The 25,735-nt window shown below is 45.7% G+C and overlaps 1 protein-coding gene and 1 long non-coding RNA gene across 16 annotated transcripts in view, besides 5 other annotated features; both read right to left on the minus strand.

The window, feature by feature from the left end:
• Positions 1 to 25,735, minus strand: part of BTG4 (BTG anti-proliferation factor 4) — a 130,900-nt gene that overhangs the window by 17,041 nt on the left and 88,124 nt on the right. For 9 of the 15 annotated variants that reach the window (XR_947849.3, XR_007062488.1, XM_011542876.3 and 6 more), the window contains one exon: positions 3,755 to 3,856. Coding sequence is in view for 7 of the 15 variants with exons in the window: in XM_011542876.3 (XP_011541178.1) it covers positions 3,755 to 3,856 (102 nt within the window). In the remaining 8 variants the exon portion in view is untranslated. Of the gene's footprint in view, positions 1 to 118; positions 179 to 3,750; positions 3,857 to 25,735 lie in introns of those variants that run through there. The other 6 variants (XR_947835.3, XR_947834.3, XR_947852.3 and 3 more) reach the window with 4 other exon arrangements.
• Positions 9,051 to 9,110: an enhancer, noted in NCBI's record as "active region_5512". NCBI's record gives its function as "activates an Ori minimal core promoter by ATAC-STARR-seq in GM12878 lymphoblastoid cells {active_cell/tissue: GM12878}" and the evidence as "EXISTENCE:reporter gene assay evidence [ECO:0000049][PMID:35858748]".
• LOC100132078 (uncharacterized) lies at positions 13,376 to 17,320 on the minus strand. The gene is made up of 4 exons (NR_046085.1): positions 15,499 to 17,320; positions 15,053 to 15,174; positions 13,972 to 14,115; positions 13,376 to 13,874 (listed from the first exon to the last, which is right to left on the minus strand). It is a non-coding gene; the product is annotated as an uncharacterized LOC100132078 (long non-coding RNA).
• Positions 13,406 to 13,745: an enhancer, noted in NCBI's record as "active region_5513". NCBI's record gives its function as "activates an Ori minimal core promoter by ATAC-STARR-seq in GM12878 lymphoblastoid cells {active_cell/tissue: GM12878}" and the evidence as "EXISTENCE:reporter gene assay evidence [ECO:0000049][PMID:35858748]".
• Positions 15,676 to 15,725: a silencer, noted in NCBI's record as "silent region_3895". NCBI's record gives its function as "represses an Ori minimal core promoter by ATAC-STARR-seq in GM12878 lymphoblastoid cells {active_cell/tissue: GM12878}" and the evidence as "EXISTENCE:reporter gene assay evidence [ECO:0000049][PMID:35858748]".
• Positions 15,946 to 16,015: an enhancer, noted in NCBI's record as "active region_5514". NCBI's record gives its function as "activates an Ori minimal core promoter by ATAC-STARR-seq in GM12878 lymphoblastoid cells {active_cell/tissue: GM12878}" and the evidence as "EXISTENCE:reporter gene assay evidence [ECO:0000049][PMID:35858748]".
• Positions 17,066 to 17,175: an enhancer, noted in NCBI's record as "active region_5515". NCBI's record gives its function as "activates an Ori minimal core promoter by ATAC-STARR-seq in GM12878 lymphoblastoid cells {active_cell/tissue: GM12878}" and the evidence as "EXISTENCE:reporter gene assay evidence [ECO:0000049][PMID:35858748]".

Raw genomic sequence — 25,735 nt, forward strand, 5'->3', positions numbered from 1 at the left:
CCCCAGAATAACCATAAGACAACACCAAACAAACCCAAACTGAGGGACATTCTATAAAATACCTTACCAGTACTCTTCAAAACTGTCAAGGTCATAAAAACAAGACTGAGAAACTCACAGAGCAGAGGACACTAAAGAGAGATAATGAATGATTTCATAGGCTGTTCCTGACTGGAACCTGGAGCATAAAAAAAAAAAAAAAAAAAAAAAAAAAACAGGAAAATTGGTGAATCCAAATAAAGTTTGTAAGTTAGTTCATGGTATTACATAAATGCCAATTTCTTAGTTTTGATAAATGTACCATAGTTGCATAAGTTGATAATATTAAAGAAAGCTGGGGCCAGGCGCAGTGGCTCACGCCTGTAATCCCAGCACTTTGGGAGGCCAAGGCGGGCGGATCACGAGGTCAGGAGATCGAGACCATCCTGTGAATGGTGAAAACCCGTCTCTACTAAAAATACAAAAAATTAGCCGGGCGTGGTGGAGGCGCCTGTAGTCCCAGCTACTCAGGGGGCTGAGGCAGGAGAATGGCGTGAACCCAGGAGACAGAGCTTGCAGTGAGCCGAGATTGAGACACTGCACTCCAGCCTGGGAGACAGAGCGAGACTCCGTCTCAAAAAAAAAAAAGAAAAGAAAAGAAAGCTGGGAGCAGGGAGCATAGGAATCTTCTGTGCTTTATTTTTGCATCCCTTCTGCAAAGCTAAACATATTTCAAAATAAAAAGATTTTTAAAAACCAGATTGTACATAGGGTGGGCAATGTCATTCATGCAAAAAAAATTTGTCAACTAGCAATGAATATAGCATGACTCTTTGGATGTAAGATTTAAGATTTGTGCATCATAAACTTAAATTAAACGTCAACAAATATCATGGCCTCACTGTCTTTGTTTTCATATTTACTAAATTAGACTATAATCTCTGTGAGGGGTTTTCTGCCCATCACTGTATCCCCATCACCTAACTCAGAGTAGGCTCTCAGAAAGTATGTGTTGAGTGAATGAATGAATGAATGAATGGTATTATTCTGGGCTTGTACAAAGATAATTGGATGAATTCAACCCCTGCCTTCTTGGAACACACAATCTAAGAATGTATAATTATATATTTTTATTCATATATTATTTATATGTGATAGCTTTGGCTCTGTGTCTCCACCCAACTCTCACCTTGAATTGTAATAATCCCCACATGTCATGGGAGGGACCTGATGGGAAGTAATGGAATCACAGAGGCAGGTTTTTCCCATGCTGTCCTCGTGATAGTGAATAAGTCTCATGAGATCTGATGGTTTTGTCAAGGGGAGTTCCCCTGCACGTGCCCTCTTGCCTGATGCCATGTAAGATGTGATTTTCTCCTCATTCACCTTCTGCCATGATTGTGAGGCCTCCCCAGCCATGTGGAACTGTGAGTCAATTAAACATCTTTCCTTTATAAATTACCCAGTCTCGGGTATGTCTTTATTAGCAGTGTGATTAATACAATATGTCAATATATTTAAATTTTATTACATGTTATTTTGTATCAATCTAAGATTTACATATAAAATCTAAGATACATCTACATAATGCACACACACATACAGTCAGAGAGAACAAAATACCAATATTCAACCAACCTGAGGAAAAGTGAATTCTATGTCAGGAGGGATTGTTGCCTATTTTGGCTCACTGCTGTATCCTTGGCACCTAGAATAGGTTTGGCACTAGCAGACGCTCAACAAATATTTGTTCGATGGATGAATGGAACAAGCCTCCTGTACCAGCCAAGGGGATGTGCCTTCCAGATCCTCTCAGGGTTAGTGTGTAGGAAGAGTGGGGGTGCTACAGAGAAAGCTTTAGCCTTCCCAGCCTCAAGGCAAGCTGGCATGTGCTGTATTTGTGCTGACTGTTCCCCTGAGATGTCTTAAAGATTCTCCCAACCGGCCTTCAATGGCCTTTCAGAATCCACATTCTGCACAAAGGTCTAACTGTGTTTTCAGCCAAGACCAAATTAATAATAATAATAATAATAATAATACATCAGAAATGTCTCCACACACTCATTTCCACATTGAAATTTGTGTTGACTTGGTGAAGAATTTCAATGGAACTGATCACCGCTTTGCAGAGTGGAACATTAAATGGGAGCCCCAAAGCAAAAATTTCAGAATAAGTCCCTTTAGCCTTCTGAATTACCAAATCAATCTCACTCCATAGAAAGACTTCTCTTATGTGGGCCCCAAGAGTCACAGGGCTGCTCCAGTGGTATTTATGCCCATCATCCTGTGAGCTCTTAACTCGAGCATGACTCTGGACAGAGCATGGGTGATTTCTCTACTTGAGAAACCCTCAAAGTAGAGCCTCAGGTTACAAAGATGAAACACAATTGTGTACATAGAAATCTGCCTGTGAAGCCAAAAGTAATTAACCTGTGCTTTTTATGCTTCAGAATCCCAACCTCAAACACTTCTGTTGTTTTCCTCCGGGCACTGCGTTAGGTAGGACTGAAATTAAAATGAAGTCCTCCCTTCACCATGACACTGTAATTAATGGAGAAAGGGGAAATGTTGTTCATGGGCTAAGGTCTCCTTTACCTGCATTGTGGGACAAGGGAGAAAACCCAGTGAAGCAGTTTATTTCTGGGCCAGAACTGACAGATGCAGAGGATGGGATCTGGGAAGCATCCAAAAGTCCATTCAACCAAAACTAACTTCCTTTCTCTTCCACTATGGGGCCTACAATTGTCAGCATTAATTTTCAGCAAGTCACTCCCTTGCCCCCTGCAAACTTGAATAAAGATATTCCTGAGTGGGTGACAAATTAAGCCACTCTCACTCAAACAGAGCTTGGCATTTATCAGATTAACCAACAAGTCATTTGAATAGGTCCTAAGGAAATGGCACATGGGATGTACTGGTTAGATGATGATGGTGATGACAGTATTGATGATATTGGTGATATTGATGGTAATGATGGTGGTGATGATAATGGTGGTAGCAATGTGAGGATATTAGCAGTAGAACTAATAACAAAAATATCATTTTAGAAAAATGTATTATGTACCAGTCAGGATGGTAAAGACTCTGTATTGATTATTTCAGCTTGTCCTCACATACACTTTCATATATCCATTGATATGGTTTGGCTGTGTCCCCACCCAAATCTCATCCTGAATTCCCATGTCTTGTGGGAGGGGACCCAGTGGGAGGTAATTGAATCATGGGAGCAGGTCTTTCCTATGCTGTTCTCATGAGAGTGAATAAGTCTCATGAAATCTGATGGTTTTATACAGGGGAGTTTCCCTACACAAGTTCTCTTTTCTTGCCTGCCACCATGTAAGACATGCCTTTCACCTTCTGCCATGATTGTGAGGCCTCCCCAGCCACATGGAACTGTGAGTCCATTAAACCTCTTTCTTTGTAAATTGCCCAGCCTCGGGTATGTCTTTATCAGCAGCATGAAAATGGACTAATACATCCATTTTATAGATGAAGAAAACTAAAATTCAAAAGAGAGTAAGCAACTTACCCAATGTCATCCAGCTAGAGGAGAAAGGGCTGCGGCCCATCAAAGAATTAAGATGATGCCTTACCTGAAGCAACCTAAGCATCTGTGGTTAGGAAGCATTTTCTAGGTCCCTAGAGAGGTGAAGCACACCATGAAACAGGGGGCAGGGAATCATCTGACATAACAACTTGACCCAAGTGCCCTCTGCTCTCCTCACTTTTTCAGTTATTACTCAAAGGGTAACAGACCCCACATTGACTTACCTACCATCTCTGATGAAGAAATACATAGGAAAATACAAAAACACATCTCAGTGAATATGGCAGGAGCTGCTGGGTGAAGAATGTCCTTTTTCTTGGAATTGTTTCCCTAGGAAGAAAGGACAGGTCATTCATGCTAGGAGACATGAAAACTTGGAGCTTTGATATAAAGACCAGGAACTGAATGGTATACAATTAGCAGCATGTTCCCTTTATCTCTCATGGTCTAATTGTCAATATTGAACAATTTCAAGCATCACATTTTCACTTCATGTTATCTTGTTATCTTATTCTGTGGTTTCATCTGTTGGATCTTCCCAACTGGACTGCTAACTCTTTGTAGATACAGACCATAATCCTGCTTCTTATACATCATCCCCCACATCCCAGCACTATGCTGGTCATAGTGTGGGTGCCTAATGCATGTTTGTAGTCTGATTTCTGGAGTCACCTCCATTGCAGTCAGATTCAGCTACTGAGGACTCTGCTGGACATTAAGATGTCAGAACCGGCCAGGCGCGGTGGCTCATGCCTGTAATCCCAGCACTTTGGGAGGCCGAGGCGGGTGGATCAGGAAGTCAGGAGTTCGAGGCCAGCCTGGCCAACATAGCGAAACCCCATCTGTACTAAAAATACAAAAATTAGCCAGGCCTGGTGGTGGGCACCTATAATCCCAACTACTTGGGAGGCTGAGGCAGGAGAATCACTTGAACCTGGGAGGCGGAGGGTGTGGTGACCCAAGATTACGCCATTGCACTCCAGCCTGGGCAACAAGAGCAAGACTCCGTCTCAAAAAAAAAAAAAAAAAAAAAAAAAAAAAAAGATGTCAGGACCATGAGAACCCAGAGAGTTTGCAGAGTTACCTGGCCTCGCACTGAGAACAAAACTGACCCTCTTTATCGTTTTCTGGGACACCAGGCAAGCTTTGGCAAGATTTGGTATCTGTAGCAGACTCCAGATACTTTTTCAGGGGTGGATTGATCTCAGTATGAACAATAACCCAATGTTGCCACTGCCAGAGTTCAGGGAGTGGGGAGGGAGGGCTACCTGAAATTATGCTTATAAAATGTACATGCTCACATTCTTCATAAAGAGGAAGTATAGCGTGGCAGTTAGCACAAACTCAAAGCCTGATTTCAAATGTCGACTATGCTACTTGCTAGCTGTGTGACTTTGGACAATCTACTGAACCTCTCTGTGCCTTAGTTTTTTCACTTGTAAAATAAATGATAGTACTTATCCTATAAGATTGTTGTGAGGATTAAATATGTGTAAAACACTTAGAAGAGTTTCTGGCATATAGCAAGTGCTGTATAGAGATTAGATATTATTATTACTAACATCCTTACTTAATAATAATTATTACAGCATTCTGCAGATATAACATATCTTTACTGCTCTTTGCAATGTATATGCTTTATTTTCTCCCAACAAATCTGTGTAACAGGTTTTATTACTGCCCTTACTTCAGAGAAGATGCAATTTAAGATTAGAAGACATAAGTGACTTGCTAAAAATCAACAATCATATGCCCATTTCAATACACACTAATGTTCTTTTGTTTTTATTTTAGAGACAGAGTCTCTAAACTGGGCTCAAGTGATCATTCTCCCATGTCAGCCTCTTGAGTAGCTGAGACTACAGGCACACGCCACTGTGCTGGCTACACACTAATGTGTTTTGATGATGATGACCTTCAGGTGACTGTCAGCTTCTGCATGCCTGGAGTCGGGGATGAGTGGATGGCTCAGCAGGGCCCTGCTGGCCCACTGGATAGGATACAGAGCACCATCTCTCTTTGCTGGCTGACCACCACATAGCTGAGTTCATGCTTGTGCCCAGTGTCTTGCCTCTGCTCACTTTTCAAGAAGAATCCCTTGGAAAATGAGACCCAATTTTTCTTACTTTAATCATCTTTGTCATCATTTTTTCCCATCACAGTATGACTTGTACACTATAGGCACTATTCCCTGGGGGAAAAAACATCTCCTGACTGCTGCCAGTTTCAGATATAGCCCATTTAGTTGGACCAGAAATGAGCAGGAGGCCAGGGTTTTGGGAAGTAGGCACTGGGAAGCTGGCATCCTCCCTCCTGGGGCTATTAGCCACTGAAGAGCTAGTACATTCTGCTGATGGCATCTCCTTTGTACAGGCATTCCACAAATATCTGCAGACCTGAAGCAAGGCGTTGGTGGGATTACAAGGATGAATCAGACCCAGGCAGTGCACCTCATAAAACTCACAGCCCAGGGGTGGGTAGCAAAGCCCATGTACAACAATCTGTAATGCTGGAGCCTGCCTACCTCATTTCACATCCTACTCTTGCTCTTACTACAGATCACTAGGCAAGTTACCTACTTTCTCTGTGCCTTAGTTGCTTATCTAGAAAATTTGGATAACAATCACACTTACCTTGAAAGGATTAAGTGAATTAATGCATATAAAGCTCATAAAACAGTGTCTGGCACATGGTAAGCATTTAATAAAAGTTATTCCTATTATTATCATATACTATATATTATTATATACTATCAATTATATAGTATATGCTATAATACTATGTAGTATATATACTATAGTTATACATATAAGTATATAGTATATATATATAATATATACCATGTATGTGTCATATAACATATCTAACATATATTATATATACTATTATGAAAATGATTAGATATTAATACAAAGTTCTGTAATAACACCATAGAAAGGGAATTATTTCTGACAAGGCAGGTTAGAGAAAGATGTAGTTATAAAAATAGCATAATGGGCCGGGTGCGGTGGTTCCCGCCTATAATCCCAGCACTTTGGGAGGCCAAGGCAGGTGGATCACCTGAGGTCAGGAGTTCAAGACCAGCCTGACCAACATGGTGAAACCCCGTCTCTACTAAAAGTACAAAAAATTAGCCAGACATGGTGGCGGGCACCTGTAATCCCACCTACTTGGGAGGCTGAGGCAGGAGAATTGCTAGAACCCGGGAGGTGAGGTTGCAGTGAGCTGAGATCGCACCATCGCACTCCAGCGTGGGGGACAGAGCGAGACTCCATCAAAAAAATAAAAGCATAATAGTCACTATTTGTCAAAAGCTCAAAAGCCAGCTCATAAGCATTATTTAATACAGTCCTCCCAAAACACTACGAGCAGATACTTGCCACCTTTTGACTGCAAAAGCTCATCCTCAGAGAGGGTAAGTAACTTGCAGGGCAGTTCCATGGTGGAGCCCATTTGCACCCAGGTGGGGCTGTCTCCAGAGTCCAAGTTCCTAACCACTGTACCTTATTCCTCAGGATATGTGACTTCCAATGAGAATCAGAAGGGCAGGAAAAGTGTGGAGTGTCAGGGTTAGGATGGAGAGGGCACAGAGGCCTCCATGGCCACAGCCCAGTGCCAGGGCAAAGGGGCTCCATCAGTGCAAGTGAAAGAACACTAAGACCCCTCCACTCTGCACAGGCTTACCTCAGCCAGGCCCTTGGAACATGTAGCCTTCCCTGTCCTAAGCCTCCAAGCCCATGTCATAGATGCAAGTCCCAGAGGACAGGTGGAGATGGTTGTGCTGAGTCACTGGAGCTGAGGCCACACTTGATGGGGCAGGAGAAGCAGGAAGCCATCCCCTCTCCTTCTCATTTATTTCCCTTACGTCCTCCCACTTCCTTTTGTCTCCTGTTTGGTGAGATCCCCATTACTACAACCTGCTTAGAGCCCCCTGGGCCTGGCTTACTGCTCCTGGGGAAGAGATGCAGGGGACCTCAAGAAAGGTTCCCAGAAGCAGGTGAGGCTGCTCGGGAATGAGTGGACGAGCAGACTCACTGCGGGGAAAACCAAGAGCTTATAGCTATATGGCTATTGGCCCAGGACCACCTGCCTCCTCCAGCAGCCATCCCTGACATCAGTGTCCTCACCTGCACCATTCAAGAGAGGGTTTCAGACAAACAGGGGACCAGGTGTACAGCTGGAGCAAAGTAGTCAAAACAGAGCACCTTTGCTTTCATTCATTTCTACCTGAAGGTGAGAGGTGCAAAGAGAGATCCTGGATGACCTGAAGACTCTTCTCTCACCAGGAAATTCAGACCCATGAGAGATGGCAACATAAGCTAATGAAGTCATCTTCAGGGCAACCCAAGTGAGCATCGTGCACCTATTCACCTATACAAAGACATTTGTCAAGAACATACTGTGTGCCAGGCACCAGGTAGGTGGGATGACAAATAGAATCCCTACCTTCTAATGAGGGAGGCTTTTGAGTAAGCAAATATTATAAGACAATGGGATTCGTGCTGTGATCAAGGAGACACAAGGTGCTGTGGGAGGAAACAAGATGGCAGCCAATCTGCTAATGGGAGGGTGGATGTGGGCAGGATGCAGTGGACTCTGAGTCGAGTTGAAAAGAAGAAGTGGGAATTGCAGTTAGCCAAGGGAAAAAGTGGGATAACGCCATTTCAGAAGGAGGAAGAGATGGGAATGGGTGTTTATGCAGATGTTTGTGGTTACAGAAAATCAAAGAAGCTCCCATCTGACTGCATATATTTCCTCTGAGAGGGATAGAAGAGGTGGTAGAGGAGAAAAATTTAAAAGTCACCCCTTTAGGAGATGATAGGAGCTGGAAAAGGAGCTGGCTAGGTGCTGTGGTTTAGATATAATTTGACTCCACTGAAACACATGTTGAAATTTCATCCCCACTGTGGTGGTGTTGAAGGCAGGGCCTAATAGGAGCTGGTGAGTCATAGGGGGATCGCTTGTGGTGGGATGGCTTGGTGCCATTCTCAAGGCAATGGGTGAGTTCTTGCTCTTGAGAAATGGATTGGTTCTTGGGAAAATGGATTAGTTCCCATGAGAGTGGGTTCTTATAAAGCCAGGATGTCCCTCAGGTTTGGTCTGTCTTCCCATGTGCCCACTTCCTCTTTGACCTTCTCTGCCTGTCTTGATGCAGCACTAAAGCCCTCACCAGAAGCCAAGCAGACGCCAGCACCATGCTTCTTTTACAGCCTGCAGAACCATGAGCCAAAGAAAATTCTTGTCTTTATAAACTACCTAATCTCAAGGTATTCCTTTATAGCAACACAAACAGACTAAGACACTAGGGATATAAGTCATGCGCACAGGACTCTCCCATGTCAGTATCCTCTTCCTAATGAAGGGTTCAATTGGGATTTCCTATCTTTTGGATGGTTTTGGCATATGAAATGCTGTGTGCTATAGTAGGAAAAAAAGCAATTTCCTGAAACATTTTATGTAAGTTATCTCATTTGATTAACTCTGCTTTACAAATGAATAAGCTAATGTATTGGAGTGATAAGTAACTTGCATAGTGTCACATACTTGGGGAAGTGAAAACCTAAAGAAGGTGAAGGACTCATTCTTCCTGCTTTAGGTGCACGGAAATGATGGAAGTTGAAGACAGATCTCCCTACTCCAAGTCCTAAGTTTTGCACTGTTAAGTCAGAAGACATAGTTCCAGTCTCAGGTCTGTTACTAACCTGCAATAGGCTCTTGAATTAGTCATTTAACTGCTCTAAGCCTCAACTTCCTCATTTGTAAAATGAGTCTATGGGCCTTTCTGAAACTCTTTTTTTTTTTATACAGGGTTTTGGCTCTGTCACCTCAGACTCCCAAGTAGCTTGGACTACAGGTGCACAGCATCACACCCAGCTAATTTTTTAATTTTTTGTAGAGACAGGGATCTTACAATGTTGCCCATGCTGGTCTCAAATTACTGGGCTCAAGCAATCCTCCTGATATAACTAGAGATTCAAGAATGGCCCCTAGAATCCAACCCATGAGCCCTCTAGCCTAGGAATGAGGCTTTGGCAGGAAATATCAAAGATGGGTTTTCTTTCATTTCCACAACCCTATAAGGTTTGGGAATTCCAAATAAACAAATTTACCTTAATAATTTGTTGACCTAATTTGTTGCTGTCTCTCCATGCACGGAGAGATAGCATGCAATGAGTACAAAAGACCAAAAGTAAGCACTATGACCAACTCATTGTGTGCCCTTGGTCAAGGCCACCTCACCTCACTCAGACTCAGTTTATTCAGCTGTGAGATGAAGTAGAAGATCCTTAAAGTCCATCCTACTTTAAATGTCTCCCACAAACCTTAACTCATATAAGCAAATGCATCCTCAACCTGTCTACTGATTTTCCAGTAAGCATTTCTAACTTAACATGTCTAAAACAAAATCCACAATTTTCCCCATCAAATCAGCTCCTCTTGCAAATGGCAATCATATCTAAGTTTCTCGGACAAAAAACTTGGGGTCGTCCTTGGCTTCCCTCCTTTTTTCATCCTCTGCACCCAGCCTGTCAGAAAATCCTATTAATTTTACCTTCAAAATATGTCTAATATACAACTACTTCTCAGCATCTCCGCCGACATTACCACACTAGCCTAAGCTATCATCATTTCTACCCTAGATTAACGTGATCCTTCTCTACCTGGTCTTGTTGCCTCTAATTTTGTTCTTCCACAGTAACAGCAGCCAGAGTGATCCTTTTAAGGCATAACTATGCCCCTGCTTTGTTTTAAACCCTCCAATGGTTTCCCATCCCACTTGGGCGGAGTCTCAAGTTCTCATTCTGACCCACACCCTAATGATCTGGCATCCTCCTGCTCCTTTCTCCTTCTACTCTCCTCCTGTTCATCCTGCTCCTGTCTCCTTCTACTCTCCTCCTGTTCACTCTGCTCCAGGCACACTGACCCCCTTGCCGCTCCTTGAACAGGCCAACCATGGTCCTGCTTAGAGGATTTTGCACTCACTGTCTCCTCTGCTGGGAAAAGATTTACCTGGCATGCTCCTCCTTTCTTCGGGTCACTGAGCAGATGTTGTCTTACCAAGGCAGCCTTCCCTGGCCATCCTATTGGAAATAGCACTCATGCACATTCCACCCCACCTCCACTTTCTAATCCCTTAACGTGCTTTCTTTTCCTTCATATCATGGACACACTATCTTGTACAAGCAGCATGTCTCAAATTGTAATGTGCACACAAATCAACCAAGGATCTTGTTACCTGCAGATTCTGACTGTATAGGGTTGGGTTCTGCACTTGTAACAAGCTTTCAGATGATACCGTTGCTGCTGGCCCATGGATCACACTTTAAGAATATAGAGTATACAGCATTTATTGATTTGTTTATGTCTGTCTCCTCCAACAAAAAAAGTAAGCTCCATGGTAGCCAAAATTTTGTCTGATTTTTGTTGGTCTTTTTTTATTTCTATATTCCTTAGCCTTTATATCAGTGTTTGGCACAGAATAGACATAAAATAAATTCATTGAGGGAATCATGAAGGTATGAGGCAGATACATGAGAACCCCAGAAGGTCATCCAGTAAAGTCCTAGGAGCTAGAGCAAAATCCAGTGGAATGGTGTCCTGAAGCAGACAGAAATATGATAAGTCAGAGAAGGCAACGGTGTCAAATCAGGTCAGCTGAATCCAGTGATTAGGTTTAAGAAATTAATTGGACCAGAAATGAGAGACAAGGCCCAAGAGTCCAGGGCTACAATAGACCAGAAAGCTAGAACAGGGTAGAAAAGAAGTGAGCAGGTTCAAAAGAATTGTTTCAATCAAGACTACAATGCTCAAAGCCCACTTTGTGATGTGGAGATGTTATGGCCTATCAGTAGGCTGCTGTGGTTCAAAGGCACAGAGGTGGGTAGGACAAATTCTATTTCATTTCAATCCATCTTGGAACTACTTGATTTTAGGATACAAGAAACGAGTTTCTTAAAGTTTACTATCTGTATTTGATTTAATTTGTCCTAAGTTTCTTTCTTTCTAGCTTAAAAGATGTCCCATAACTTATGTATTTCAGGGTAATACAATAATTTCATGGTGTATTGCATACCACTTTGATGCTGACACGGCTTTTCTGATGATGATGATACCATTTTCACTTTCAAAAGGGTTTGAGGCAGTTTATAGAATAATAACAACAACAGTGAATAACATTCATGTGGTGCTTACTATGTGTCAAAAACTGTTCTAAGGACTTTACAGATATTCACTCATCTAATCCTTCCAACAGTCTTACGAGGTTGGTACCTTCATTATCCCCACTTTATAGGAAAGAAAACAGAATCCCAAAGAGGTTAAGTGACTTGACCAAGATCACTCAGCTAGCAAATAGCAACACCTACAATAAGACAAAAAAATAAAATCTGTAAGAACCAAGTCATAACGGAAGAATGGCGAGTGGGAAGAAACTAATTTTATCATAAAACTTGGGGAGAGAATGTTATAACTCAACACAAAACTTCATTGTAAGCTTCCTGGAAGCCCAGGGGAGAAGGAAAATGGGTTGGGCTTTATCCAAAGGTTACCTCAGGCAAATTTTAAGAGAGTCTTGTGACACTAGACCAGAAGCATTAAAGACGGGTGGTCGGTGTGAGCAATGCCACTCTAGAAGGCAGAGTCGGAGAGAAGTGCAGAGTCAGAGGCCACTGGGGTAAGTAGATTGAGGTGCCAAAAAGGCCAGCAACAGAGGTGGAGTGAGATAGAGACTAGAAGGAGGTGGAAAAGGTTCCAAACACAGAGAAGGCAAGAGTCAGCGTAAACCATCAATGCAGGGGAGGGTCAGCACTCGAGTGAGTCATGGAAATGCAGAATTCCGATCACAAAGTCCTTTTATACCTTGCTACTTAAAGTGTGGTCCTTGAACCAGCTCAGGAACTTACTAGAAATATAGAATTTCAGGCCCCATCCAGTTCCACTGAATCAGAATCCACATGTTTCACAAGCTCCTCAGGTGATCGGAATGCACACGCCGGTTTGAGAAGCACTGCTTTGGCATGGGCCTTGGTGAATGCCCACATAGCAGTAGACTCTGAACACACACCCAGTGCTGTGATAGGTGCCCTCACATTCATTATCTCCTGGGATCCTCATAACAATCATACAATAAAGATATCCTTTTTGTACTCATTTTACAGATGAGGAAATTGAGGCTTACAGTCATACCTAGTGAGAAACAGAGCTGAGACTTGCCCAAACCAATTACCTTCCATTCCATTCAATTCATTTCTATTGGCATTTCAGTTAGAATTTATCCTGGCCAAGGCAATAGCAGACAAGCTGCTGCTGGCATCATTCTGAAGGGTAGAAGCAGGGGACCTATATCAGAGTGTGTTACAGCAAGCAATGGAGGAAGGCTCAGCAGTAGGTTCTGATCGAAGAGAAGGGGACAGATGAGAGCAGGTAGGATGGATGTCTTCCAAGAAGGTACAACCAGAGCCTTCCGGGAACATGGCAAATTTGGCCCTGAATCCATCCAGAAAACAAGTCCTTCATATTACAACTGGCGTAGCTCCAGCCAGGCCACGCTGCCCTATCTAAGACCCTCCCCTTCCCGCCCCCACCTCAGCTAGCTGCAGTGGTGTGTTACCCTTCTGACTGTTCCGTTCATTCAGCGAAATGTCAGTGTAGGAGCAAACTGAGAGTGAATGTGTCTTTCATTTGCCAATTAGTCATGTACCACCTAACTGCTCATGTGTGTGATTTGAGCACGTGTGTTACATGTTACTTAATTTTTCCTTTATTGGTGATTGGTTTAATGAAGTTGCACATGGGCCAGGATGGTCTTGTATCTAATTGGCTTCCACAGAGTACAAGGTGGACACAGAGTGCATGTTTAATAGATTTTTAATGATGGATCACCTCTTCTAGAGAACAAAACCAGAGCCCTCAGTCCCTCAATGCCCCACCAGGGAGAGCGGTCCAGGTGGAGGAGATGAGTCCTGAGAGCTGAGTGGGTCCACCTACATGGGTTGGCCTGATGGTCCCTTCCTCGCCCAGTTGAACCCTCCTATCAGGGCTCAGGGAATCCCTGACACGCCTCTCCCCTCCTCTTTCATCTTCATGGGAAACAGAAACCACCAAATGTGGGTGTGTTGTGTGAAGACACTAGATGGTGTTCTCGTCCGGGCAGCTGTTTTGCTGTGTTGTTTTCCTGCCCCTTCCTGAGAAGATAAGATCTGGACAGGCTTATGATTCTCTCCCACAGACCCTCAAAGGCAACAAGCAAGCCAAGTTCATTTCTCAGGCACCTTCTCAGAAGCACACCCCACATCAGTATGTTTAATGAGATCCGGGTCACTTGAAAGCAGCAGCGAAAGCAGCTTCCCTAAAACACAGGGCAAGATCAGTGCCTCCTCTGAGCTTCCCTTTCTTCTCCCAAGATCCCCAGGCAAAACTGATTTGCATGGGCAGCCAACTTGTACCTCCTAGAAGGAAACTTGAAGCCTGAAGTCGCTGGAGATACCAACACCTTCCCCAGCTGTAGGGGGGTCGGGGGAGATGAGCACTTAACAGAAAACAAAATTTGCAGGTCTTTGGGGAGGCTGGGGAGAGGGAAGAAGACTGCTCTGGAAAACACAGAAGGAGAATAAAAGACAGAAACAGTTAAAAAGAATAAATGACTATGAGCACAAACTCTGCTACCTGGCTTCAAAATGGGATTGCAGTTGCAAGATGGCCCCAAGATATGAACTAACTCCTCTGGGACCCAGATCGAAGCCCAGGTGGCAACTGCACCTGCCTCACCCAGTGCAGAACACAGAATTAGTCCTGCTCTGCAAAGCCCTGTTATTGGCTTACTGTTACCAGTGACCCCCGCCTCCCCTGCAACCCAAAAGGACGGAAACCTAATTTTGATCACTTTTCCCTCCTCCAAAGCTGCTTCTCCTTCATTCCTCTACAGACCCCCTTATATTGTAAACTGGCAGCTGATAATACCATTCACTTTCAAACCAATGTTTACTGAGAAGTCAGAGGAAGTGAATATAAAAGATAGGGCTTGCAAAGACAGAGGGCAAAAGAATTGGAGATTTCTTCTTCTATTTGAAAGCATCATGCCCTCCTGACCTAGGTCCCAGAGACCAGGCTAGAGAGAGAAAGAGAGACACTGAGGTTCCTGGTGTATCTCCTGATGTGCAAAATGGCAGGAGGAGGAGGCTGGTATTGCTTATGGCCCCACGTGACCTAAGGATGGCCTTTCCCAATGGTGAGCCCAACAGCCTCCCAGAGAATCAGGCCTCCAGAGCAGAGCTGGGAGGGGAAGACATGGCAGCCCTGGAGGCTGGGCCTACGGGGTGGGGGAAAATTAGAGGAGCCAGAGACCCACAGTTTAGAAATACAGTGGAGGTCAGGTGCAGTGGCTCATGCCTGTAATCTCAACACTTTGCAAGCCTGAGACAGGAGGATCCTTTGAGCTCAGGAGTCTGCCATCAGACTGGACAATATAGCAAGACTGTCTCTACTAAAAATCAAGAAAAAAAAATAGCTGGGTGCAGTGGCACACACCTATAGTCCCAGGTACTCGGGAGGCTGAGGCAGGAGGATCACTCGAGCCTAGGAGGTCGAGGCTGCAGGGAGCCAAGATCACACCACTGCACTCCAGCCTGGGCAACAGAGTGAGACCTTGTCTGAAAAAAGAAAAGAAAAGAAATACAGTGGAACATGGCAGCTCCTTTGTTGTTAAGTTCCAGGATATTTTTCATTCTGGGCAGCCTAAGGTGTCTTTAGCTGTTAAGGAGAAAGAGCTTGGAGGATGTGGGGAAGGGAAAGCTGGGGTACTACTGAGGGTTGAGCCTGATAGGGGGATGGAGTTGCCTGGACTGAATTTTCAGGGCCTTCATCAGTTCCTTTTCTGTCCCCTGGAAAACAAACTGGGCCTCTCTTCCTCTCTCTCCCTCTCTTTCTCTCTCTCTCCCTCTCTCGTTTTCTCACTCTGGCTCACACACACACACCTTTTCTTGATTAGATCGTTACATTCAATCCTAGGTAGGTGTGCCTCTAATTTCGGGTCCCCAAGCATACACACCCCAGACCTCAGGGGACTTTGGCTTCCTGAGGTCAGGTCGGAGCACAAACAGATCTGAAACGCCGTTAGTCACATCATGGAAGGGAGTGAGTTGGGTGCTTCAGGTAGATCCAGAGTACACCTTGGCTCTCACTCGTTATTATTTCTTAACAGTGTGAAACCCCCAGGACATCCCGACAGCGTCTGTCCTGGGTGGGCCAATGTGAGCAGAGAGCACGGGCTTTGAGGCTGGAGCCCCTGCATTTGTATTCTGGCTCCACCGCCTACCCTGTCACCGTGAGAAAGCGGTTTGACTTCTCTCAATCTCCTTTTCCCCTAGGTAGGAAAGGGACAGTAATGGTCCTTAGTAGGACTGAATGAGATACTGTGTAGGCCCAGCACGGTGCCTGAGCAGATGAAAAACTCAATAACTCATAGTCATTCTTACTTTTAACAGCACTTCCATTATCATTGTTATCCTCCAGGTCAGGAGCCACGCTGGGCCTGCGGTGAATTTTCTTAGAGTAGATTTTTAAGGGAGCCGGTCCCCAGCTCTTTCCAGAATCCCCAGAAGCTATTAAGGTTGTCTGTGTACATCCAGTTTGCCATGTTTAGTTAAACTTTGAGGGACTCACGCCCCAGTGCAGCCCACGGGGTTTTTGCAGAGCTGATGACTAATATTTTGTAGAGAGTCTGATGACTCCAATACACCTGCCTTATGTCCCTGGGTCTGAAACAGCTTTCTTAATAGACTGAGAGATTCACTACAAGGACTCTCCTTTGTCAACATTTTACCAGCCCTGATGAAGGATTAAAAATTATGTTAACCAGCAGTTCTGACTTGGCTTCTGTCAGTCACAGCTTCGCATGGCTGCACTTGCTTCTCTCTTCCTCTTCCTCTTCCTGTCCCCTCTTTGCTGATCTGGACTCAGCCTGGTATTCTTGTCACAAGGTCATCGCCTAGGTGAGCTCAGCTCAGCGTGAAACAAAACAGCTCATCTGAAGGCACCACACAGTCCGTACTGGGAGGAGGGGACCCTCCTCAATCCCCTGCCTTCTCACAAGTGGGCTCTTTTGGTTCCATCTTGCAAAAGCTGGGCAGAAAGAATTTTAATCTGAGCTCTCGGAGCCCTTGGACACAGGGACAGCATGAACTGCCCCTAATTCCTTGGGTGCTGGGTGGTCTGCAATCACTCCCTCATAGCACTGTCTGAGGGCTGACCACTCAGCTTGCAAAGATATCTAGGCACAATTTGTTTTCAAAAGGCTTGCATGTTTGTTATTTTTTGAACTTTGGCTTTAGATCAGTTTGGGTGTTCTCCAGAGAACAGCCACTCTGCTTCGGCATTGAAGCGTTCTCTCACTCACGCTCTCCTCCCTACTCCCAAGTGTCTTGAATCACTGCTGCATTGCAGGTTCATGCATCTGGACTGTTTTCATGTTCTTGGGGCATGGCGTCTATTTTATAAACACACGGTCAGTTTACACTGCCTGGGAACTTAGGGGATTTCCTCTCTGTGGGAAACAGCTGTGAGGAGCTTGACCAAACTTGGCTTTGTGGAGAGTAAGACGTCGCCTCTGATCATCCACGTGGGGCAGCTGCACTGGCTGTGTTCCTGTTGTTATGCCTGAGGATTCTCCTAGAAATCTAAGCTAAGAAGGGAAGCTCATTATGCTCTCCTCCCTGGTTTCCAGTTTAGTTGTTCATGAGTGATTTTGCATATCATAAAACCCCATGTCTGTTCACCTTCACGCCGTCTGCCAGCAGCACCTTAAGCCATCTGACTGCTGTGGGACCTCTGAGGCCACAGAATTATGGCATCATGAAGCTGGAAGGGACTTTAAGAGAGCCATTCGCCCAACACATTAGATGAGCACTTATTATGTGCAAAGTGCTGTGCTAGATGCCATGGGTGAAGGAAGGTGAGAAAGACCCAGCCTCTGTCCTCAAAGAACTGACAGACTTTAGGCTTGGCCATCATCATCACAAAGCATTCTGTGACCTTCTTCTTCAGGTGGGCTCAAGGTGTCCTCCTTAGTTCATGCCCCCTGCTGAGCACTATCACAGCACCTCCTATGCTGCAGTGAAGTGATCCTCATGTCTGTCTTCCGCATAGAATGTGAGCTTCCAGAGGGCGGGACCAACGATGCTGGGTGACATGGAGATTCTGCAGCGCCTATCATAAGGTTTTCATAAAGGGGAAATAAGATTAAGAGTAGAAACACTCTATTTACTAGCTACTTAGGCTAACCACCAAAACCAGAGGAGGTTGGTAGCTCCCTGAAGCAGAAAGAACTAGAGAAGCCAAAGGGATACCACCAACCTTGAGAGTCCATGAAGAAGCTGGGAAAACCGGAAGCATCTAAGCCACCGTTCTCTTGGCCCTTCTGCAAACCCTCTCTGCCACGTCTGCAGGAGTTTGTTTTAGTTCACTAGGGCTGCCAAAACAAAGTACTGACTGGATGGCTTAAAGAACAGAAATTTACTTCCTCACCATTGTGGAGACTGCAAGTCCAAGGTCAAGGTGTCAGCGGGGTTGTTTCTTCTGGGAGCTCCTCTCCTTGGCTTCCAGATGGCCGCCTTCTCTCTTTGTCTTCATATGGTCTTCCCTCTATACCTATCTGTGTCCTAATCTCTTCTCATAAGGACACCAGTCATATTGGATTAGGGCCTACTCATATGACCTCATTTTACCTAAATAACCTCCTTAAAGACCTTATCTCCAAATAGAGTCATATCCTGAGGTACTGGGGATTAGGAAGTCAACCTATAAACTTGGAGGAGAAGAAGGAGGCTGCACAATTCAGCCCATGACAGAAGTTAACACTGATGCTCAGAGAAGTGCCAGTGAGTCCCTGATAAAAGCTACAGCCAATCAGTTCAGGAACCAAGAATTAGGCCTGTAACTGCCTTCCTTCTTGGCTGACTGACAACCCTAGAGATACAAAGCTTCATCCAGCACTGGTAACCGAACTTAACTCTATTTTGCCACCACCACTTCCTGTACGTGCCCCTCGCCCCTTGGCCTCCCCACAGCACTGGTGCTACCTGAGGTGTCTGTATTTGAGCCAAAGGCAAGAGAAGGTGTCAATACGGAAGAGAGAAAGAAACATGTCTCCCTTGGGACTAGGGTGGGAAATGACAAGGATGGAGGCAACTTCCAAGGAGAACCACTGGCTCGCTTCCCAAGCTCATAAGCAGAACATAGAAAAAAGGTCCAAATGCCCTGGCTAGATGGAAGAGAGCCAAGCCACCAGCAAGTACCAGCAGCGGGTCTCTGACTGCCAGCCAAGGCCATGGCGCTGCCAGACAGGAACTGACATGGAGCAGAGAGAGAGGCCTGGCAGCGGGATGGCTTCACCCTCCACACAGCTTTTGCTGTTGGCTTCTGCAGGGTCATGAGTCCTCAGCAGCCTCAGTTCCCAGAGTCACTCTTCACTATTGGGTGCCAGTTGGCTAAGTGCCATATTGGAAAAAGAGTACGGGATGTGAGCTTCTAGATGAACCAACCCATTATAATCAGACTTGGCTTAGTTTGGCCACACATTGCCAAGACAGGAGGGAGGTGTTGCTGACTCAGCACCAGGCACCCAAGGACAGGCAGGTCCAGAAGTGGCTTGAGGTAAAGGAATCTACAATGGACAACTGTAGTGTCCTAGAGATGCCTAGGGTCCAGCCATTAAGCTGTAGTCCAGTTCTCTCGGCAAAGGAAAGTTCACAGTCTATCTTCTCAGCTGCCCCTGAATCCAAGTCTCAAGGTGCAAAGTCCTGGAGGACTTGCAGACACCAGCTGCTGGCTTGTCCAGGAGATATTAAAGTTTCCTTTAAAATCATCCCAGCAGTCCAGATGACCTGCTCTTCAACCTCATCCTGAAATTGCATCCACAGCAGGGTAGACCAATCTGAGCAGCCAGCTCTGGAAGTGAAACTGAGGAGATCATAGCCAACAATCCTCCTTGGACCAGGTGGCATTCTGGGCTTTGCCTGGAGAAAGCCACATTTTTTACACAAAGACCAAAAGACCAAGGATCAGGAGGAAGAAGGCAGTGGGCATGGTAGGGTGTGGACTCTGCCTTAGCAGAGACTCTGGGGGAGATAAAACAGGGGGAGATGAGACCATGATCATCTCACAAGAGTTAAGCCTCAAAAGTCACAGGAGCTGTATGTAGAGCTACTTTGCCCACCTGTGGTTCTCCCCTGTAATGGGTAAGAACAAGAAACAGCATTCAACAGTTTGAGACACAGTTTGTCTAGTAGAATGCCAGAGGGATTGCAGTAGCAACCTGGTGACCCCGTTCATTCATGCATTCATTCAACACATTTTTATTGAGCACCTAATTTGTGCCAAGCATTATGCTGAGTGGTTGACAGGATAAAAAAATAAACTAACAGGCCTTACCCTCATGAAGCTTACATTCTAGCAGAGAAAAATGAATCAATTATACAATTCAAAACACTAATAATTGTAATAAGTGCTACCAAGGACTTTGAGAGTACATGATGGAACACAATCTTGGAGGTCCCAGAAGGCTCCTTTGGGAAAGGGACACCTAGGCTAGTCCCTAAAAGGTGAGAGTAAATTACCTAGAAAAAAGGATGGGATAGGGATGGGAAAGAACATGCCAGGAAAAAGGAGTAACTTATGCAAAGGCCTTAAGGCTGGAGAGAGCGTGACAGAATCAAGGAACCAAGGTCCCAAGTGGCTGGAGTCCAGAGATTGGTGTGCAATGGATCTCAAGAGCCTAGCTCTCAGAGAGGGCACCTCATATAGGGCCTCGTAGACTATCTAAAGGGTTTTTATCTCTAAGAGCAGCCAGAGCCATAGAAGGGCTTGGGGGAGGATGAGATGGCATAATTAGCTATGCTGACCTGAGCATTCAGCCCTCCCCTTTACCTAATGTTGCCTCCATACAAAGGAGGAGACCTGGCTTTGTGTCTGAGTTCATCATGATCTGAAAAACTCCAAACTGGATAATTCATGAGAGCTACTTTGCTTCTAGCAAGCACAGCTAGTCAACCGATTTGCAAAGACAAAATTTAGGTTTGCACGTGTGTTTCCCGAAGGGCAGGATGTCCCTGTGGGCTCCCATCTGGCTACCAATTAACTGATGTCTGCACCTTAGAGGCATAGACCTGCCCAGCTTGCAGGAAAGAGAAAATGGGGCTAACTTCCCCAGCAACACTATAAACTAAGGCTTACAAAAAGTAGAAGGCGGCTGGGCGTGGTGGCTCACACCTGTAATCCCAGCACTTTGGGAGGCTGAGGCAGGTAGATCACAAGGTCAGGAGTTCAAGACCAGCCTGGTCAAGAGGGTGAAACCCCATCTCTACTAAAAATACAAAAATTAGCCAGGCATGGTGACAGGGGCCTGCAATCCCAGCTACTCAGGAGGCTGAGGCAAGAGAATCGCTTGAACCAGGGCAGCAGAGGTTGCAGTGAGCCAAGATCATGCCACTGCACTCCAGCCTGGGCAACAGAGTGAGACTCCATCAGACAAAAAAAAAGGCAGAAGGCATGGCAGGTCACAGCAATTTTTCGTGATACCATTGAGACCAAGCTCACGGGAATCAAAAGGGCCCAGAAGTTGCTGGAGAGCAAGTCAACCTCTCCCTATCTCTGAAACTCAGGAAAACAGTCCCTTCTCTATGCACCAAGAGAGAATCTCTAATCTATCATTCCAATAGGATTCTCCTAAACTGCTTCAAGCCAGTCTGTTTTTTTATCCCAAAACAAAAGGATGCAGGGGAGGGTCTTCTGGTCTCAGCGACCTTCACAAGGGAGCCCCAGCAAATCGTTCCTCCAGCTCTGAGCCAACCGTGCACCAAGCTCAATCTCAACCTAAATATTCAAGGCACAAAAATTGATCATAGAGGTCCCCAGTAAGGGCAGAGTGGTTCTGAAAAAGACCACACTGACACACTTCTGCTGGACTTCCTCTCATGCTCATGAGAAATGGCTGCTGTACGTGGCCTCTGAGACCACCCAGGTGCCCTCCTGCTGGACACTCAAGATGGACATTCACAGTGCTCACCCCACCCTGCCACCCCAAGAGTCCTGGAAATGCATGTGCACACAGGCCTTCATCGCCCTAATGCTCACATGGCCACCAAGCGCAGGCTGGAATAGAAGGATGTGTCCTTTGACCTTTTTGTCCTCTCTTCCCAGACCGAGCCTGGGCATCAAGTGCACAGGAAGACAGTTAACCTGAATCACCACGTGGAAACACTCCTATATAGAACCTTTGTGCCTCAGGTGCAGAGGATCAGCCAGGGACAGGACAGGGTGACTCCCGAGGCCAGAAACAGGACAAGGTCCCTCCCCTGCTCAATAAGAATGGACACGAGACACCCATAGGACACACTCAGGAACTCCAAGTTCTGTCTTGGCCTCCCCCATCCCCAGCTGGCAGCCAATCCCCAAAAGCAGCTGTGGGTGGAGAGGGAGGGCAGTTTTGGATTCTATAGACTATAAAGCAGGTGCTGTGGCAGCTTTGGTCTTAGTAAGGCTGCACACCTCTCTGTTTTCCCCCACCTTAGTGAGACTCCCTGTGTCAGGACATTGGTGCATTTTCTCCCCCATGCACTGGACACAGTGCATTTCCATTTCTTTTCCAGGTGGGGACCCTGTAGCCAGTGACTCCTGACCTGGCTGCTCCTCAGCAGACACCTCAGGTTCCTCCTGCAGAAGAGACCCCTGTTGGCCACTCCTAAGCCTTCCTCAGGTGCCTAGATAGCCCCTCCACCCCGAGTCAGCAAGAAGGGCCACCGCAGTGACAGAGCTCCCCCTACTGAGAGCTCGCTGTGGTGGCGGGCCCGGGAGACCGAATGAGGCACTCTCTCCCCTAGAAATTAGATTCTGGGAACATCTTCCAACTCTCCCCCAATCCACTGCTCCCAAATAAGGGCAGCATTATCTGGAAGATCCTAAGAATCAAATCCTTTTACATCAGTGCCATATCTCCATTGTCAAAACTTGAAATAACTCCCAGGACAGGCCCTTAGCCCAGCCTGGGCCAGACTAATGGCATGTGTTCCAAGGTCCCCACTGCACCGATCTCAAAGCATCATGTGCACCAAACCATTCAGTTAAGCATTCCTACTAACTACCTCCCAGAGAGCTGGCCTACCCCTCCCCAAAGGAATTCTTAGACACCTTGCCCACCCTTACACCACAGGCAGCTGAGCCCAAGCTGACAACTTCCAAAGGACCTGTCGATATCAATGACAATAAATAATAATATAACATGCTTGGTTCTCAAAGTATATGACATTCATTTAATACACAAAAACAATGCCACCACCCTCAAAAAATAGATATCACCATCAGATGAGGAAATTAAGGCATAGAAAGATGAGAGACATGCCAGGATGAAAACTCAGCTCCTTACACATAAAGACCACTTTCTGGAGGAGCTGTGAGCTGAGGACTGTTAAGACGAAAGGACATTGGAACCAGGAAATCTCCGAGGCCTGAGCTCCTTTCAGGGCCCTGCCAGAAGAGGAGGCCGAGAAAGCCAGACCTCTCCCTCCCCAGGTGCTAAGTCACCACAGAGACCCTCCCCAGGTCACCACAGCCTTAGAACCACCACCACCAGTGGTGACAGAAGCCTCATGGAGGAGCAAAATAGGTGAAGGGAAATGAGCACAGGCTCAGAGGCTTGACCAGCCTCTCCCATCCTGCCCATCGCAAGAAACATGTTCTTCAGAGAGCTCTTAGCTAGAGAAACACTAAAGGCCCTCACAGGTTCATCTTTAGGGCATCTCCCATCCACAGCCCAAGTCGATACAATCCAGTGCCCCAGGATACTGAGAGTGACACGGATAGATGATGCTCAATTTGGGAAGCAGCAAGGGCAAGGAAAGCAAGGAAACTAGCCTGGGCTCTAGAGCTGGATGACTTACAAAATGTTGGTGTCACTATCTAAAAACAAAGGAGTCAAGAGGAACACCATGGGGTGAGAAAGGAGATGATGAGTTAACGCGAAAATGCTGGGCGTCCTGCCCCACAACTTGGCATGGAATTCACCTCAATATAATTTTTGCTGTAAGATGACAGTGCTAATTTGTTCACATTTATTACAGTTGGTTAATCCACCCAAATAATTCATTTATTTGAGGCCAATAAACTGAATGCTAACTGGCCTCAAAGTCATTCATCATCATTAAGTGGTAAGGTTATGTGGTTATTAATAAACCAAGCCTGCAGATAAAAGATTTACGGTCACTTAAGCATTTGTTTATTAATTCAATAAAATTAGGCCAGATGTAGTGGCTGACGCCTGTAATCCCAACACTTTGAGAGCCCGAGGTGGGTAGATCACCTGAGGTCAAGAGTTCGAGACCAGCCTGACCAATATGGTGAAACCCCGTCTCTACTGAAAATACAAAAATTAGCCAGGCGTGGTGGCAGGTGCCTGTAATCCCAGCTTACTCAAGAGGCTGATGCAGGAGAATCACTGCAACCTGGGAGATAGAGATTGCAGTGAGCCAGGCTGTATTAGGTACTTTAAAAGATTAATAAAAACAAGCCCGGTCCCCAAGTAGCTCAAACCTTACTAGAGAAGAGATGTGATGTCAAGGGCCATGAGAGGGGACAAACTGCCATGGCAGTTTAGAAAGCGGATGAGCAGGTCCTTCTGTACAATCATAGAGGGCTACATGAAGGAAGGCGCCATTTGGGCTGGACCTGGGAAAATGGGTAGGTGTGGAACAAACTTTTATCATGGGGCATGCATTCCAGGCAGAACGTGTGCAAAGGAGGAGGTAGGAAAAATGAAGGGTATTTTTTAGAAGCAGTAAGGATTCCTGGAAGACAGTGGCAGCATTTCTGGGTAGGGGGTTCACAGGTGTTGTTGAGGCCCTGCTGCATGCCAGGCACTCTGTACCATAGGCAGGCTCCATGCTGATCATGGAGATAAACACATACACAAAAGACACAGGAGCCCTGGCCTCATGGAGCTCATAGTCCCTCCAAGGATACAGTCGAAAAAGAAGACTGGAGAGCCCCCAGTGCTGACCATTTAAGGAGCCTGGGGACTTGGGGGTTAGCAATGGAGAGTTAATGACAGTTTTTAATGCTGCAAGGTTATGATCAGCGCCTTTTAGAAGATTTATCTGGCCCGATAGTAGAAGAAAAACTTAAGAAGAAAGACGGGAAATATTGAAATTTCAGTTAAGAAACTACTGTAGTAACCCAGATGAGAGATAATTACCAAAATCAGAGCAGTAGGTAGGAAGAAAAATAGGGTATGAATGCAAGAGATACTAACCAAGCAGACTACACTCAATCTGGGAACTAGCAAGGGCAAGAAAAGCATCGAAATGGATCTGAGGGCGGGCACAGTGGCTGACGCCTATAATCGCAGCTCTTTGGGAGGCCAAGGTGGGAAGATCGCTTGAGCTCAACAGTTTGAGACTAGCCTGGGTAACATAGTGACACCCCATCTCTACAAAAAATTTAAAAATAGCTGGGCATGGTGGCACACACCTGCAGTCCCAGCTACTCGGGAGGCTGAGGTGGGAGGATCACGTGAGCCCTGGAAGTTGAGGATTCAGTGAGCCGAGATTGCGCCACTGCACTGCAGCCTGGATGACAGAGCCAGACCTCGTCTCAAAGAAAGAAAAAAAAGGAGAAACTGACCTGGGCTCTAGTGCCTAGGTGATTTACAGAATGTTGGCATCATTATCCAAAAACCAGGGTGTCAAGAGGAGCACAGCGGGACAAGGAGGAGGGTGATGAGTTCATGTGGGGTATGCTCAGTGTCTTCCCACAATGAGAAAGTGGGTGGTCCAGCCAGAGAGAGGTGAGAATTGCCAAGAAACCATGAAAGCAGTGACAGAGGAAGGGAAGGGAAATGAAAAAAAAATGGAAAGGAGGACTGGATTGAGAGTGGTTGTATCTACACATTGTATAGATCCTCCTGGCAGAAGACTCTAGCACCCATGGTTCTCTCTCCGTGTCTCCAAAGCTCTTTGGAAAGACACTTTCTTTGGCAAAAGAAAAGGAGAACACACAATAGAGAGAATGTACTGCAGAAATATGCATGGCAAATATGGCAGGGATAGGGAAAGGGGTTTGCATTGTAGCGGTGGTGGGTGGACAAGGTGTTTCAATCTGTAGTGTTCCCTTATAGTTCTAGCACACCTTGGGCTCTCCTCTCACAGTGACTCTCCCTCCATGCTC

The sequence above is a fragment of the Homo sapiens genome, chromosome 11 (assembly GCF_000001405.40).
Source record: "Homo sapiens chromosome 11, GRCh38.p14 Primary Assembly".
NCBI classification, from domain to species: domain Eukaryota; kingdom Metazoa; phylum Chordata; class Mammalia; order Primates; family Hominidae; genus Homo; species Homo sapiens.